The 17,609-nt window shown below is 42.0% G+C and overlaps 1 annotated feature.

Annotated features, from left to right (window-relative positions):
• Positions 2,172-2,221: a silencer, noted in NCBI's record as "silent region_16975". NCBI's record gives its function as "represses an Ori minimal core promoter by ATAC-STARR-seq in GM12878 lymphoblastoid cells {active_cell/tissue: GM12878}" and the evidence as "EXISTENCE:reporter gene assay evidence [ECO:0000049][PMID:35858748]".

The following is a 17,609-nucleotide window of genomic DNA, read 5'->3' as shown; positions in this document are numbered from 1 at the left end:
CTCCTTATTGTTACATTGGCTCTCTTAATTCCAGAAGCCTGAACCACACAGCTGTTCATATCCCTGAGAACAGCAAATCCAACAGTAAAGCCTCAAGAAACCTTACATCTGCTCGCAGCTGAATGCCACCACGTTGTCTGCAATGACAATTAAGAGTCTTGAATGATATCAGATGTGATGTATAATCTGGTGCTTAACTAAGATTGGGGCCTGGAATCAAAAACAAGGCTGTAAAATGAGGCATCTCACAGACTTTGTCAACAGCCTTGTGAGCCCCAAATATTTGGTATGACCCTGTTTTCTATACAGGATTTGATTCAATTAAATCTAATCAATTTCAATCCAACTAATGGATATGCCAAGCCCTGTGCTAGACAGTGGGTGGGAAGAGGGAGAATATGAATAAAATAATCCCTGTCTCAAATGCTCATAGTCCAGGAGGAAGAACATAGGAACTCCATGATAAAGGTAACAACAGACTAGTGGCCTGGGTACAAAGGCAAAACAGAGGAGAGGAAAGAGCTATCTGGAGGGTCAGGGATATTGACAAAGAGTGGGGTTTAAAGGAAAACCAGGAGTTCATCAGGCAGGAGGTGGGAGAATTGCCTCCAGCCTATCAGCACCACTGAATATCACATCAATTTACCTTATCCATGGGTACATTTAATGCTGAAGACAATATCCATCATTCTTAGTTCAACTAGACAGCCACAAAGAAATTTGTAATGTCTATTTCTCACTTTGCACACACATGACAAAATATTGACGAAAAATAACCCATTACTGAGAACTTACTTTGTGTTAGACATCACAATAGGTATGTTATTCCCACAATAACCCCCTTAAACATTATATATTATCTTTATAGATGAAAAACTCTTAAATAGATCAAGGTCACCTGGCTAGTCAGTGGCTCAGCCAGATTTTGTGGGCTGTTGTTTTGTGTTTCTTTTTATGTTTATCACTTTATTTTTATTTCAATAGCTTTTGGGGTACAAGTGGTTTTGGCTACATGGATGAATTGCATAGTGGTGAAGTCTGAGATTTTAGTGTACCTGTCACCCGAGTAGTGTACATTGTACCCACTATCTAGTTTTTTATCCCTCACCCATTCTCCCCGTTCTGGGTCTCCACTCTGTATGCCTTTGTGTGAACATGCCTTACTTCCCACATATAAACGAGAACATACAGTATTTGGTTTTCCATTCCTGAGTTACTTCAATTAGAATAACGGCCTCCAGCTCCATTCAAGTCACTGCAAAAGACATTATTTCATTCTTTTTAAAGGCTGAGTAGTATCCCATGGTGTGTGTGTGTGTGTGTGTGTGTGTGTGTGTGTGTGTGTGTGTATATCTCATTTTCTTTATCCACTCATTGCTCAAAGGGCACTTAGGTTGGTTCCACGTCTTTGCAATTGTGAATCATGCTGCTGTAAATACATGCATACATGTGTCTTTTTCATATAATGACTTATTTTTCCTTAGGTAGATACCCAGCAGTGGGATTGCTGGATCAGATGATACATCTACTTTTAGTTCTTTAAAAAATCTGAGGCCAGGCACGGTGGCTCACGCCTGTAATCCCAGCACTTTGGGAGGCCGAGGCAGGTGGATGACGAGGTCAGGAGATCGAGACCATCCTGGCTAACACGGTGAAACCCCATCTCTACTAAAAATACAAAAAATTAGCCGAGCGTGGTGGTGGGCACCTGTAGTCCCAGCTACTTGGGAGGCTGAGGCAGGAGAATGGCATGAACCCAGGAGGTGGAGCTTGCAGTGAGCCGAGATCAGGCCACTGCACTACAGCCTGGGTGACAGAGCAAGACTCCGTCTCAAAAAAAAAAAAAAAAAAAAAATCTGCATACTGTTTTCCATAGAGATTATACTAATTTACATTCCCACCAGCAGCGTATAAGTGTTCCCTTTTCACCACATCCACACTAACATCTATTGTTTTTCTGACTTGTTAATGATGCTCATCCAGATTTTGAATCAGATTTATCTAAAGCCAATGATCTGGCCTTAATCACCACCCCAAACTTCCTCTTTATAAGTCATCTATATATCTAAACCAATCCCTTGTTTCTCTATTTAATATAAATCTTCAAGTTGACATAGTTCTCTCTCTGCTATGCTGTGGAGCTAGTGCTAAGTTTCCTTCTTACAATTGCTGGCGTGAAAGCTCCTCCTTTCAGCATTTGCCAAATCATAAACCAAATGCCGGACTTACATGGGGAAGTTGAAAGTTGTTTGGTTTGCAGGACTTGGAGCTATGGTGGAGCTTTCTGTGGCTTGGGGACTCTTTGATTCCAAAGCCTACTTTTCTTTTTTTTGAGACAGAGTTTCACTCTTGTCGCCCAGGCTGGAGTGCAATGGCACGATCTCAGCTCACTGCAACCTCCGCCTCCTGGGTTCAAGTGATTCTCCAGCCAAAGGCCCCAATTTTCTAAGTAGCAAAAGGAAGAGAAACTCCACAGCTGAAGTGACTCAAGAAGGAACTTGAGCTAATGTAATACTTCACGTGCTTTATTACACTTAGGGTTTTTCTGATGTAGATACAGCAGAACTAAATGTACCCAATGGACTGAAACAACAACAACAACAAAAATGCCTTTCCAAAGCTCAGAGGGCATCTAAATATTACCAATTTTTTAAAGTTTATATAAAAAAGGGGAAGAAAATGGAGGAGAGGGAAAAGTCCATATGAAAACAAAGACCCACTGAAATGCTAAAAGGTCAAAGATGCAGAATCCCAACTCTGCCAACTCTTCCTGCTGAGCTGTTTAAGACTAACTAACCCCTCATCTCCCACCCCTGGCTCTCGCCACTACTCATACAAGAAAACATTGCATGGTGGTCCACTTAATTTATCCTGATCATCAGAAACAGCCCCTAGACAACTAAATCTAGGATCTTTAAATGTGGCATAATTTCCTTGCTTTTTAAGGAAATTATGTCAAATTACGGTTGGAGAAAAAAACTGGCTAAGCATTCTTTTAAAAGCTCAGAACAGTCTAAATTATGGGGTTGCACACACAAGAAGAAGGACGTTTTGTTTTAATCTGATTTTAAACTGAATCAGTTGAGGCTGCTGCAAAGATGAACTATGTAATTAGAGCTAACTACTCAGTTAATACAGCTACAGCAAAGAAATACAGTCAGAGTGAAGGGCAGAGACCAAAAAGACCTTTCTTCCGCTTTCTTCACTAGAGTTATTTTTCCCTTTAGTAACGGGAAAGGGAAATATAAATACTATATTTGCATATTAGATGTGCCAAAAAATCACATTAAATAATTTTAAAATTATACTTCTTACAAAATATTCACTTTATCACTTCTTGTAAAATAAATTTATCCTGGGAAAAGGAACTAATTGTTCCTTAAAGAGTTACTAAATGTACTTATTTACATTTAGCATGGTTTTCTCACACACAAACCAATCACACCCACAAGGCCTGCAACAAGAAGGGCTTAATACTTTCAAAGGAACCATTATTTTTGGAATGTCCTGATTTTTAGAAATAATTTTCAAGCAATGATGTCCTGTTCATTATTTTTATTTTTATTTTTTTCAGATGAAGTCTCACTCTGTCTTCCAAGCTGGAGTGCAATGGCACAATCTCGGCTCACTGCAACCTCTGCCTCCCAGGTTCAAGCAATTCTCCTGTCTCAGCCTCCCAAATAACTTTTTGTATTTTTAGTAGAGACGGGGTTTCACCATGTTGGCCAGGCTGATCTTGAATTCCTGACCTCAGGTGATCCACCTGCCTCATGCTCATTATTTTTAAAAGCTAGCTGAGCACGGTGGTTCACACCCATAATCCCAGCACTTTGGGAGGCAGAGGTGGGAGGATCGCTTGAGGCCAGGAGTTCAAGACCAGCCTGGGCAACACAGTAGGACCTCATCTCTATTAAAAATATATATATATATTAGGTGGGCTGGTGCTTTGCACCTGTAGTCTCAGCTACTCAGGAGGCTGAGGCAGGGGGATCACTTGAGGCTGGGTGGTCAAGGCTACAGTCTCTCCAACAACAACAACAACAAAAAAGCCATGGTTAATCTAGTTACTATTCCCACTTAGTTTCAGGAATTGAAAAGAATTTCAAAGTTTACTAAAAAGCAGGGAAGTGATACAAACATCCAATTTGCACAAAAGAGTTATTATGTCTTACCAGTGGAAATCAGGCATAATTGAACAAGTTTTAGAAACAAAGAAACCAAAATGCCTGAGAGATTGAATTTAGAATGTTCCTCAAATGCTAGTGCTAATCACAAGCTAACATGAGTATCACAGTTTCAAAATATAAGAGAACATTTTTCAAGTAATTTTTTTCATTGAAACGGAAACCCAAAAAACAATGCCAGTCATCACAGTATGTGGTAAATGTAACTTCCAGAAACAAGTAACTGACGTGTTTAACAAGGAACCTGTTTTCAGCGTTGGTGAAAGCAAACCAGGTCTGATGATGCATATCTAATCACCCAAGGAAGGCAATAAAACTAAAAAGATTCCATTGGTTCATTAACTATTAAAATCCAACACCAAAGACACAGCCCCTTTAAAGCCTTGACAACAAATATTAACTTATTACACATACAAATTATGCTCAAGACCAGCGACTTTATAATACCAGCAGTAATGCTGCTATTCAAATAATAAACAGGCAATATTATTCCTACTGGGTTGAAAGAATGAAAAATAGCTTAAGGAGTGAATTTTCAAGTGCACGTAAAATGTGGCAAGTTGGGACATGGAAAAACTGAAAGTCTTAAAGGTAGTTCCGTTACCAGAAAGGGATATAAAAATAAAAAGCTCACTCAATGAAAACATAATGCAGAATTAGGTCAGCAAAGCTGAAAACATAATACAGAATTAGGTCACCAACACAGACCTAGAAACCTCCTTCCTCTCTCCCAACTCCACACATAATTCAGTCAAGGCTGGCTGCTTTTTCACCAACCAATCCAAGGATAAAAAGCTAGGAATGAACAACATTCAGGTAAAAGGAGGCCTCTCCTTCTATGAGTGTCAAATTATATAAACCTATGAGACAGCCTCTCAGAGTCATGGCCATTGTAACTTACAGCTGAATGGAACATAAACTTTCTCCACAAATAAATTCTGTTTTGCATTGCTTGACCCAGGGCCAGCCTTGGAAACTTCTTCCATGTCTCTATCACCAGAGACTCTGCCAAGGAGAGAGGAAGGCTGCAACATCAAGCTCTTCCGCATCCCCTTCAAAACTCCAGGTGAGCTAGAGCCCTTAAGTGCCTTCGAGAACAGCAGCTGGGTGCGTAAGGGGGCGTGTCCCATCTGGTCCTGCTTAAGACCAGCAAGAGCAGAGCTGGCTCCTCTGTCCTTCTTCCTTTTTTTCTTTTCTACATCACACCCAAATGGTTGGAGCTGGTGGCCAGAGATAAGAACTTAGAGGCATTTCTACCGCTAGCCCCCTGGGCTCCCCACTCTCCCATTGCTTCCTTTAAAGGGACCATTCATGCATTTACCCTCAAATTGAAAATGGCCCACACTGTATTATGCAAAATATACTGCTAGCTGCTCGCGCTCTCTCTCTCTCTCCTCTCTCTCTCTCTCTCTCTCTCTCTCTCTTCCCTCCCTCCCTCCCTCCCTCCCTCCCTCCCTCCCTCTCTCTCTCTCTCTCTCTCTCTCTCTCTCTCTCTCTCCACCTGATCCCTCATTCCTGCCTCACATGACCTAGTGACCAAAGACTCATGGTGCTCTCCCTGCCCAGGAACTGTTTAAGTGAAAATCTTTGGACTTGTTTCCTATGAGGGTGCTGTACTGAATTTGCACCTTCCATCTGAAGAACTAGGGGCTGCCCCAGGCCTGATTTTCTCCAAGGCACCAAGGAGAGCACAAAGTCAGGCTCCCAGCAGCAGAGTGACAGTCAGACAGGCATAAACTGGACCCGATCAGACAAGAGCCACGTGGGTATCTGCCAGTATAAACAAGGTTCCTGTGAGAGAGCCCTCCTGGTTACAGGTTGGAGAACTAGGCTTTAGGCCACCCTCCAAGTAGACGTATCCTGTGAAAGGCACACAGTGAACACCCATGCCCAGCTCCCCTTCACTTCGCATCGGGGCAGCATTGTTAGCTGGTCTGGTACTAGAACCAGAGCTGGGGGCTCTTAAAACACCCGCTTTGGCCTGGCGCGGTGGCTCACGCCTGTAATCCCAGCACTTTGGGAGGCCAAGGCGGGCGGATCATGAGGTCAGGAGATCGAGACCATCCTGGCTAACACGGTGAAACCCCGTCTCTACTAAGAATACAAAAAATTAGCCAGGTGCGGTGGTGGGTGCCTGTAGTCCCAGCTACTCGGGAGACTGAGGCAGGAGAATGGCGTGAACCCAGGAGGCGGAGCTTGCAGTGAGCCGAGATAGCGCCACTGCAGTCAGGCCTGGGTGAAAGAGTGAGACTCCGTCTCAAAAAAAAAAAAAAAAAAAAAACTTCTCTCTCCCATTCTCCCCGGATTCCTGAGGCTCACATTGTGTGGTATGAGCCTGTCATATACGTGCCCAAAATGGCATCCCTTCTCTACTCTCCACTCCAACTCTATAACTCCTGCTTCATTAGTTCAACTGGGGTAGACAGAGGTGGAAAATGATCTGATATTCTAATTCACATTACAGTAATACTTAATAAAGTAAATAATTGACAGCATCTTCTCCCCACCTCAATTCCCCATGCACTCTCATTGTTAAATCAAACCAGTCTCCAAGTCTGTGTATTTTAGGCAGTATGGAGAAGGAATGGGGGATAGGTTTTGGGAATGGGAGGCTGGTTTTCTGTTGCCTGATCAATCACACCACTTGATGGCCTTAGAAGGAAGCATGATATTTCCTGAAGGGCAGGAGAAAGGCATCCCACACCTACTGTCTTTCTCCCACTGCCACCCAAGGAGTGCAAGCCCGAACATGTCCTTCCATCTCCTCTCCAGTCTTCTAACATTAACCAAAAAATTAAGTTCTGACACATGCTTCAACATGGATGAACCTGGAGGACATTAGGCTACATGAAATAAGCCAGTCACAAAAGGACAAATACTGTATGATTCCACTTAACAAGGTACCTAGGGTAGTCAAATTCATTAGAGACAGAAAGTAGAACGGTGATTTCCAGAGGTTGGGGAGAGGAGGAAATGGAGAGTTGCTATTTGTGATTATGAAAAAGTAATTCACAGGCTGGGCATGGAGGCTCGTGCCTGTAATCCCAGCACCTCTGGGAGGCTGAGGCAGGAGAGCTGTTTGAGCCCAGGAGTTCAAGACCAGCCTGGGCAACATAGTGGGACTCTGTCTCTACAAAAAATACAAAAATTAGCCAGGGATGGTGGCACACACCTATGATCCTAGCTACTCAGGAGGCTGCAGTGACAGGATCACTTGAGCCTAGGAGGAGGCTGCAGTGAGCCAAGATAGTGCCACTGCACTCCAGCCTAGGAAACAGAGTGAGATCTTGTCTTAAAAAAAAAAAAAAAAGTCATTCACATTGTGAATTACTTATTGCCACTGAATTGCACACGTGAAACTGGTGAAATGGTCAATTTTATATTATGTATATTTTACTATAATAAAAAAATACAACAAAAGAAATGTTTAAATAGGGGGACAATCTCATCCATTCCTCCCCAACCTGTAGTAGGACCTCCCCCATTCCTCACTGAAACCAGTTTTAGTCCTAGGACTTCAGCATCTATTCATATTCTCTGGTTCTACTAGGGGTGGACGTATTTGTCACCCCAAAGGAGCCTGGTTCCTGGAGCAGCCCCTGGAGGGACACAGAGAGAGCCTCCACCGTCTCCTGAGTCGGTCTTAGAGAACGAGTCTGCCAGGGAGCTGAAGCAATTTTTCCTCCTTGCATTTTTCTTGTTTTCTCCAAAAGTGGACCCCATTCCTCCCACTCTTGGTTCCTCATGCTCCTCTATTCCATCCCCAGGCCAGATTCTCAAGAGTTGGATGACTGAGTGACCGTGAACTCCCATTCACTATTTTCAGGTAAGCCATAATGTAACATAGACAAATCCATTTCCAACCCTGAGTGGACTCCACTGGACTCTTGAGAGCTGGAATGGGATTCATTAAATAATTGGACCAGCCACTAGGAAAAAAATATGAAGTGCAATTTTCCCTACTCCTTTCCCATATGCTTAGTATCTATGTAACATAATATTTATTCATTCATTCATAGAGGTATTATTCACTAATTATTATCCATGCAACTGTGTTGCACAGTTGCACAGTACAACGGTTAACAGCACATTATCTATGCACAAGACATGTGACCCTGGGCAGTCTTTTCAACACCGAGTGCCTCGGCTTCCTCATCTACAAAGTAAATAACAGTCGTGCCTATCTCACAGAATTGTAATAAAAAATTAAATGTGTCCTGCATAAAAGGTTTAGGAAAACATACCTAGCACATCAAGAACATTCAAAGCAAGTTGTTTTCTGAATCAGTTTATCATACTAAATTTTCATTGCTCACTAACAGTGTGTGACCTTTTTATCCCCAGTGTTTGACACTTTTGACAACTAAAGGGCACTTCTGAAGATTTTAATCTGAAGTAAAACACAAACAGTATTATCGTAACCACTCCAGCATGGGAAGGGGGAACACGAAAACATTTGTATTGCATTTTTCCATGTTCTAGGAATACCAATGTATAAACCAACCACTGCTGAAATTTATAACATCAATCTGATACAGTAAGTTTCCTTCTGTAAATCAAAGCAGGATTCTTAACTATAGTCTAAAGCGCCCTCTAGTGTTCCTATGCAAAAACTCCCGAGATAATGTGCCATCCTTATAACTAGGGTCTTTTTCTGCCCTGGACAGCCCTGGTTTAGGCGTATTATCCTGCTATTTTGTCTGGTTTAACATTTTCCTGGATTGTTTCACTTTAATGGAGAGTCACCATTAATATTTGCACTAAAATAAGCTAGGATTGGTTTAGTAGCCCTTTATGTTTTCAGCTTCCACCATGGTCTTGTCTAGTACTGTATGACACACAAGCCAAGATGTCACATGCGGTTAAATCTGTAAGGCGGCTAGTGTGGACCCATTTCTATTTTCCCCAATCCTTTCCACATGCAATGGAACTAACACGTTTCCCTTTCAAAAACAGCAAGGCACTTGCTTACCAAAAAAAAAAAAAAAAAGACCCTCAGACAAGAGCCTCCAAGTTCAACTCTGTCCAAGGATAGCACTTATGGTGGCAAGAGAGCTCTCCAACAGCTGCTGCTCTGAACCCTTGGGATTCACCGACTAGGTCTGCCATGGCCCATGCTCAGGTCTATAAAATGCACAGAACCACCAAGGCACAGCTGGTGGGGTCCCTGAGATATGTGAGAAATCATAGGTTAGGGGTGTGAGGAATATGTACAGGGAAACGAGGCTGCAAGTACTGCCTTAGGACACAGAGAAACCAATCTGACCAAAATGATTTGGTTATTTCTTCTATGAGGTGCATCTAAAAGTATTATGTTATTGTTTGGTGGTGCTTTTTTATTTTGCAAGAAATCTTTCAACAACAGTAAGCTCAAAAGGGAAAGTTTAGGCCAGGTGCAATCACTCACACCTGTGATGCCAGCACTTGGGAGGCCAAGGCAGGAAGATTGTTTGACCCAAGGGGTTTGAGACCAGCCTGGGCAACATAGCAGAACCCTATCTCTATTTTATAAGTAAATAAATAAAAGTGAAAGTTTACACTTCGTAAAATATTAAGTGAGGAATTTTCTATCCTCAAGTAAGTTGATGAATGTGAAATTGCATAAAATGTCATCATTTGCCACTCCCCACACCCATGGAGGACAAAGTGATATCCAGAAGCAAATGAAAACCCTAAAACACAAATCTGAAGAAGTTTTTTGTTTTTCTTTTCTTGGGTTTTTGTTGTTGTTTGAGACAGAGTCTTGCTCTGTCGCTCAGGATGGAGTGCAGTGGCGTGATCTCAGCTCGGTTCACTGCAACCTCCGCCTCCCAGGTACAACTGATTCTCCTGCCTCAGCCTCCCAAGTAGTTGGGATTACAGGCGCACACCACCATGCCCAGCTAATTTTTGTATTTTTAGTAGAGATGGGGTTTCACCATATTGGCCAGGCTGGTCTTGAACTCCTGACCTCAAGTGACCCACCTGCCTTGGCCTCCCAAAGTGCTAGGATTACAGGTGTGGGCCTGAAGTGTTATAATCTACATAAAAAATTAGCAGTGGCCTGGTGCAGTGGGTCACACCTGCAATCCCAGCATTTTAAGAGTCTGAGGTGGGAGGATCACTTGAGGCCAGGAGTTCAGGACCAGCCTGGGCAACATAGCAAGACCTTATCTCTACAGCAAAAAAAAAAAAAAAAAAATGCTAGCCAGGTGTAGTGATACACACCTGTAATCCTAGCTACCTGGGAGGCTGACATGGGAGGATCTCTTGAGCCCAGGAGTTTGAGGCTGCAGTGAGCTATGATTGTACCATAGCACTCCAGCCTGGGCAACAAAGCAAGATTGTTTCTATTTTTAAAAGAAAAATAAAATTAGTAGCTATTTTGGGAACCCTGTACTTAAAGTTTACAAGTTATTACACACAGCTGTGTAAGGTGCTCACATGACATTTAGATCCAGTAATTATTCTCCTACACTGACTTTGCCAATTTTTATTTCATGTTTTTGTGTTCATGCACGAAAAGTGAAGCAAAAGCTATAATGTGTTAAGATTGATAGAAGAATTTTATAAAAATTTCACTGTTGCTAATTTTATATCAGTGTTACTAAGGCTTCACCTAGAAAGATCAATTAAATTAATTCCAATAATGGTTTAATTTTTTTATCTAATTCATGGAATCAATGTAAAGCTTTTGGAATTGTAGTCTGTTTAAGATGAAACATATCTGACATAATTATGACTCACTATAAATTTAAATTTTCAATATTTAAGGTAAAAGTATTTGTTTTTGCAGTGATAATCTATATAAACATTTTGGTGGAACATGATGTCATGGTAAAAACAATATCTTGTCCAGGCACAATGGCTCACGCCTGTAATCCCAGCACTTTGGGAGGCCAAGGCAGGCGGATCATGAGGTCAGGAGTTCGAGACCAGCCTGGCAAACATGGCGAAACCCCGTCTCTATTAAAAGTACTGAAAAAAAATTAGCTGGGTGTGGTGGTGCATGCCTGTAATCCCGGCTATTCGGGAGGCTGAGGCAGGAGAATTGCTTGAACCCAGGAGGCAGAAGTTGCAGTGAGCCGAGATCATGCCATTGCACTCCAGCCTGGGCAACAGAGCAAGACTCTGTCTTGGGGGGAAAAAAAATCTTCTTAAATTAAGGCATCTAGGCCAGGCACGGTGGCTCACGCCTGTAATCCCAGCACTTTGGGAGCCAAGACGGGTGGATCATGAGGTCAGGAGATCGAGACCATCCTGGCTAACACGGTGAAACCCCGTCTCTACTAAAAATACAAAAAATTAGTTGGGCGTGTTGGCAGGCGCCTGTAGTCCCAGCTACTCGGGATGCTGAGGCAGGAGAATGGCGTGAACTCGGGAGGCGGAGCTTGCAGTGAGCCCGAGATCGTGCCACTGCACTCCAGCCTGGGCGAGAGCGAGACTTCATCTCAAAAAAAAAAAAAAAAATTAAGGCATCTAATTTTAAAGATGCAGAACTACAGCTGGAGTTGGTTACAGTGTAAATGAAGTCATAATTTCTCCAAAGAAGTTGCATTATTGTATCAACTGCAATGAAACCATATTTGTAAAAATTTACAAATTTTGAAGATGCCAACTTATTAAACTACAAAATTTTTTAATAAAGTTGATAAGTTGATGTTGATTGCAAAACAAAAAAAACAAAACACCTCAGCATGGCAGTACTGAACTTTATTTCCTCTCTGCTACCCATCATCCATTGGAACTATTTAGTAAATCAGCCTGTGTCTGACCAATGATATTGAACTTTTTCATAATTAGTCCTCTAGATTTAGGGTGCATTTTGTTCAATATCAGTTAGAAATTTTAATCAAAGAATTCAAGGAGCATCAAAAAACAAACTTCAGTTTTTCGGTAATTACAACTATTAAAAACCAAACTTGCAAAGAGGAAGACACTGAAACATCCGATCTACAGCAACAGAGTTATAGGAAATAAATGAATTGCCCTCAGATCCTGTCCAAGATTTAGTTTTGAGATTCTATAATTGTTCTTTGGAATATTTCTACATATGGAGAGAAACTTTTATGTTGTCCACTGGAATGGAACAAAATTAAGAAGGCCTATGAATTTATGGCATCTCAGTTTGGGGAAACATCAGAATTATCATAAATGGAGATAATTTATGTGATGACATTTGTCTTCCAAAAATATTTGTAAAAGCAAAGAAAAGTACTCTGAATGGAAGCAAAAAGAACAGTAATCAGGAAGTATATTTCAGCCAATTATTTATACATTTTAACACAAAAAAAATTAGAATTAAGAACACTTCCCATTGAGCAGAATTCACTCCATTTTTACCAGATAACTTAGCTCTTCTAGAGAGATTACATTTCTCAAGTAAATTATGATTTACAGAGAAGAAGAGTCAACCTCAATTTTATTCACATGCAGTATAACCTCAAAAAAGATCCAGGTATTATGAGAAGTTAAAAATAAGTCTATTTTACAAAAAAAGCAGTATTGGCCAGGCGTGGTGGCTCACACCTGTAATCCCAGCACTTTTGGAGGCCAAGGCAGGTGAATTACTTGGGGCCAGGAGTTCGAGACCAGTCTGGCCAATATGGCAAAACCCTGTCTCTACTAAAAATACAAAAATTAGCTGGGTGTGGTGGCACATGCCTGTAATTCCAGCTACTCGGGAGGCTGAGGCATGAAAATCCTTTGGATCTGGAAGGTGGAGTTTGCAGTGAGCCAAGATTGCACCACTGTACTCCAGACTGAGTAACACAGCAAGACTCTGTCTTGGGAAAAAAAAAAGAAAAAAATGCATTCTTCCAAAAAATGCCGGTGTCAGAAAAATGACATGATATTTGAGACAGATAAGACTAAAGGCCGGGTGCGGTGGTTCACGCCTGTAATCCCAGCACTTTGGGAGGCCGAGGCGGGCGAATCACCTGAGGTCGGGAGTTCGAGAGCAGCTGGAGCAACATGGAGAAACCCCATCTCTACCAAAAATACAAAATTAGCCAGGCATGGTGGCGCATGCCTGTAATCCCAGCTACTCGGGAGACTGAGGCAGGAGAATCACTTGAACCCGGAAGGCAGAAGTTGCGGTGGGCCAAGATTGCACCATTGCACTCCAGCCTAGGCAACAAGAGCGAAACTCTGTCTCCAAAAAAAAAGACTAAGAAACTGATTAAGCATGTACTATGTAACAAAAATAATCATACCACTTACGTTATTTTCATCATTCTGATAAGACTAAAGATTTTTTTAATTTTGCTTTAATATACATAGATAGTTGTTACTTTTTAGAATTTCATTTTCGTCCCGGTGCAGTGGCTCATGCCTGTAATCCCAGCAATTTGGGAGGCTGAGGCGGGCAGATCACCTGAGGTGGGGAGTTCGAGACCAGCCTTACCAACAAGGAGCAACCCCGTCCCTACTAAAAATACAAAAAAATTAGCTGGGCATGGTGGCCCATGCTTGTAATCCCAGCTACCCGGGAGGCTGAGGCAGGAGAATCGCTTGAACCCAGGAGGCGGAGGTTGCGGTGAGCCGAGATTGAGCCATTGCACTCCAGCCTGGGCAACAAAAGCAAAACTGCATCTCAAAAAAAAAAAAAAAATTTAAAACAAAAATGAAAGAATTTCATTTTCAAAAGTTTTTAAATAGAACTACTTTATTGGCCTATGCATATAATAAAACTAATTTATCATCCAATATATAAATAATTTAGAAATTATATTCAAACATATGTAAATTATATTGTATGTATTATTTTAGTACCCTTTTTCGTTTCCTAAGTGTACTGGTTTGGAAAATAAATTACCCTAATAAGAGCTACCAGGTAGGGCATGGTGGCTCACACCTGTAATCTCAGCATTTTGGGAGGCCAAGACAGGCGGATCACTTGAGATACGGAGTTCAAGACCAGCTTCGCCAACATGGTGAAACCCCATCTCTACTAAAAATACCAAAGTTAACCAGGCATGGTGGCATGCGCCTATAGGCCCAGCTACTCGGGAGGCTGAGGCAGGAAAATCACTTGAACCGGGGAGGCAGAGGTTGCGGGGAGCCACGATCGCACCACTGCACTCCAGCCTGTGCAACAGAGTGAAACTCTGTCTCAAAAAAAAAAAAAAAAGAAGAAAAAAGAGCTACCATATCTTAAGAGCTTACTATTTATGAGGCACTGTGCTTGAATCAATTTACTCTCTACAACCACTCTGAAAGGTCGTTATTAGCATCTTCATTTCACAGAAAACTCCACCTGATGACAATAAGTGCAGAACAAGAATGTCTCCAGTCTCAGCCCATACTCCCCACTCACCATTTTTTTCTGCATCTTTCCCTACATCAACAGGACATACTACTGGCCCACCAAAGGTGGAATGCACTTCCAGTTAAGAACTACAAATTTGGCTGGGCACGGTGGCTCATGCCTATAATCCCAGCACTTTGGGAGGCCGAGGCGGACGGATCATGAGGTCAGGAGATCAAGACCATCCTGACTAACACAGTGAAACCCCACCTCTACTAAAAATAAAAAAAATTAGACAGACGTGGTGGTGGGCGCCTGTAGTCCCAGCTACTCAGGAGGCTGAGGCAGGAGAATGGCGTGAACCCGGGAAGCGGAGCTTGCAGTAGCCGAGATCGCGCCACTGCACTCCAGCCTGGGCGACAGAGTGAAACTCCGTCTCAATAAATAAATAAATAAATAAAATTTTAAAAAAAGAACCATGAATGCAGGTCCATCGTGACCTCTGACCCCATCACCCATGTGGCCAAGGATGTGCATTTTCAGGACAGCTAGCACATTTTGGAGGGCAGACTATAGCTATGTGAAAATAAGTAAAATTTAAAAGCTGCCAGAACCCAGAAAACACCTTGAGAGAGATGTGACTGTGATCTGAGTCACATAGCATGTAGTTGTAACTTCTGCTTCTTAAATTAAATCAAGTCTCTTCCTCATTGTTCTTGTTCTGTAAATGACCAGAAAGGACCAGAGACAAGACTTCTTCCTCTTCCAATCACTGATCTTTGTTCCAGATTAACTGCCTCCTTTATTGTCCTTCACCTAATTCAACTCAGATGATGCAAAATCTTCAGCATGGATTGTTAAATATACCTTTCTTGAAAGAAAAAGACAACCTCAATTCATCAGATCATTGTAACTATGCATTAATCCTTATATAGAAAGATCATGAAATTCTGTTAAGCTTCCTTAATCTATGTCTGTATAAAGGGTCCCATGATTCTACACTTCAGAACACTGGCTTCCATTCTTTGGAATATGTGCATCCTAGATGGTTGAGTGGTCATCTCAAAGTCTGCACTTGAATAAACTCTCTTTGAACTCTGACCCTTTTGGTTATTTTAGGTTGATAGCTCTAAACCCAAGCAATGAATGACCCTCATACCTAAGAGAGTCACGCTTACCCCATGTCTTTCAAACTACATGTGTCTTTTGTATGTGTAATCTCCAGTTCTGGAAAACCTTTTTGTGTTGTTGTTTTAAATGGTATCCTAGACACTCAAGGGGCAGACCATAATGTATAGCTCTTGCATTAATGTGAATTAAATGGTATTTGACCTCAGACCTTAGCATCATTAAAATTACAAATTGTCTCTGGCTATCCTATAATATAGACTAAGCTATGAAATGTAACAATAAAAGTATAAGTTTTGTGCTATATTTAGCACTTGGTACATATTCCTCTCTGTCTTTAAGTGTCACTATTGAGACTATGAACTCTTTTTTTTTTTTGAGATGGAGTCTCGCTCTTTTGCCCAGGCTGGAGTGCAGTGGCATGACCTTGGCTCACTGCAAGCTCTGCCTCCCGGGTTCAAGGAACTCTCCTGCCTTCCGTGTAGCTGGGACTACAGGTGCGTGCCACCATGCCCAGCTAATTTTTGTATTTTTAGTAGAGACGGGGTTTCACCATGTTAGCCAGGATGGTCTCAATCTCCTGACCCTGTGATCCACCCACCTCAGCCTCCCAAAGTGCTGGGATTACAGGCATGAGCCACCACACCTGGCCTTTTTTTTTTTGACAGGGTCTCACTCTGTCACCCAGGCTGGAGTGCAGTGGCATGATCATAGCTCACTGCAGCCTCGAACTCCCAGGCTCAAGTGATCCTCCCACCTCAGCCCCGTAAGTAGCTGGGACTACAGGTACGCACCACCATGCCCAGCTAATTTTTGTATTTTTTGTAGAATGGGGTTTCACCATGTTGCCCAGGCTGGTCTCAAACTTCTGGGCTCAAGCAATCCACCTGCCTCGGCCTTCCACAGTGCTGGGATTACAGGTGTGAACCACTGTACAGGTAAACTCTTAAAATACCATTGTGTTTAACCTAGGTACTTATTTTTCCAATGCTTTCATTCTATCTTAATCATTTCAGTTACATCTTATATGTACAAAAGGTTTCCCTTCAAAAAGAAAGTCATTATTTAGTAGACAATTAGCAATATATGCTAGCAGATAGTGAAAATATATAAAGTACCTGTTAAGTAGATTACTCTAAGGATGTATCTACCTAGGATAATAGATTAAAATGTTACCTAGGCCAAGTGTGGTGGCTCCTGCCTGTAATCCCAGCACTTTGGGAGATAGAGGCAGGTGGATCACCTGAGGTCAGGAGTTCAAGAGCAGCCTGACCAAAGTGGCAAAACCCCGCCTCTACTGAAAATATAAAAATTAGCTCGGCGTGGTGGTGCGTGCCTGCAGTCCCAGCTACTTGGGAGGCTGAGGAAGGAGAATCGCTTGAACCTCGGAGGCAGAGGTTGCAGTGAGCCGAGAACGTGCCATTGCACTACTGCCTGGGCAACAAAGCAAGATTCTGTCTCAAAAATAAATAAATAAATAAAATGTCACCTAATAAAAATGATATAATAAATGTTGGGGACTCAGGGGTGGGGAGAAAGAGACAGAGGGAGGTGAGAGATAAAAGACTACACATTGGGTACAGTGTACACTGTTCAGATGATGGGTGCACCAAAATCTCAGAAATTACCACTAAAAAACTTACCCATGTAACCAAAAACCATCTGTTCCTCAAAAACTATTGAAATTAAAAATAAATAAATAAAATGTTACCTAAAAGTAAGAGGTTTGTATTGGATTTAGATATCCCCCAAATCCTAATATGGTTTGACTTAAGACAAAGACATGATTGCAAATAGTTCATTAGGGAGGTAAGGGATGGCTGGTAGGGGAGCAGGAAAGGGAAGATTGCTAATTAAGGATGTGTTGTTAAGCCAAAGCTAGAATTTAACTTCAGCAGAAAACGCTGAAGGCAAACATAGCCCTTACGATCATTCCATCCAGGGATGGGGGATCTGGAGTAATTATACCCCAACTCCCATCAGCTCCTGATTGAGGACTTCTGGGGGTTGGTGTGAACTCCCCAGCATTTCCAGATACTACCAGTTGGAACTCTAAAGCACAATGAAAT

The sequence above is a fragment of the Homo sapiens genome, chromosome 6 (assembly GCF_000001405.40).
Source record: "Homo sapiens chromosome 6, GRCh38.p14 Primary Assembly".
Lineage (NCBI taxonomy): Eukaryota > Metazoa > Chordata > Mammalia > Primates > Hominidae > Homo > Homo sapiens.
Note: the sequence above shows the minus strand (reverse complement) of the source record. Positions and strands in the feature narration are given on the sequence as shown.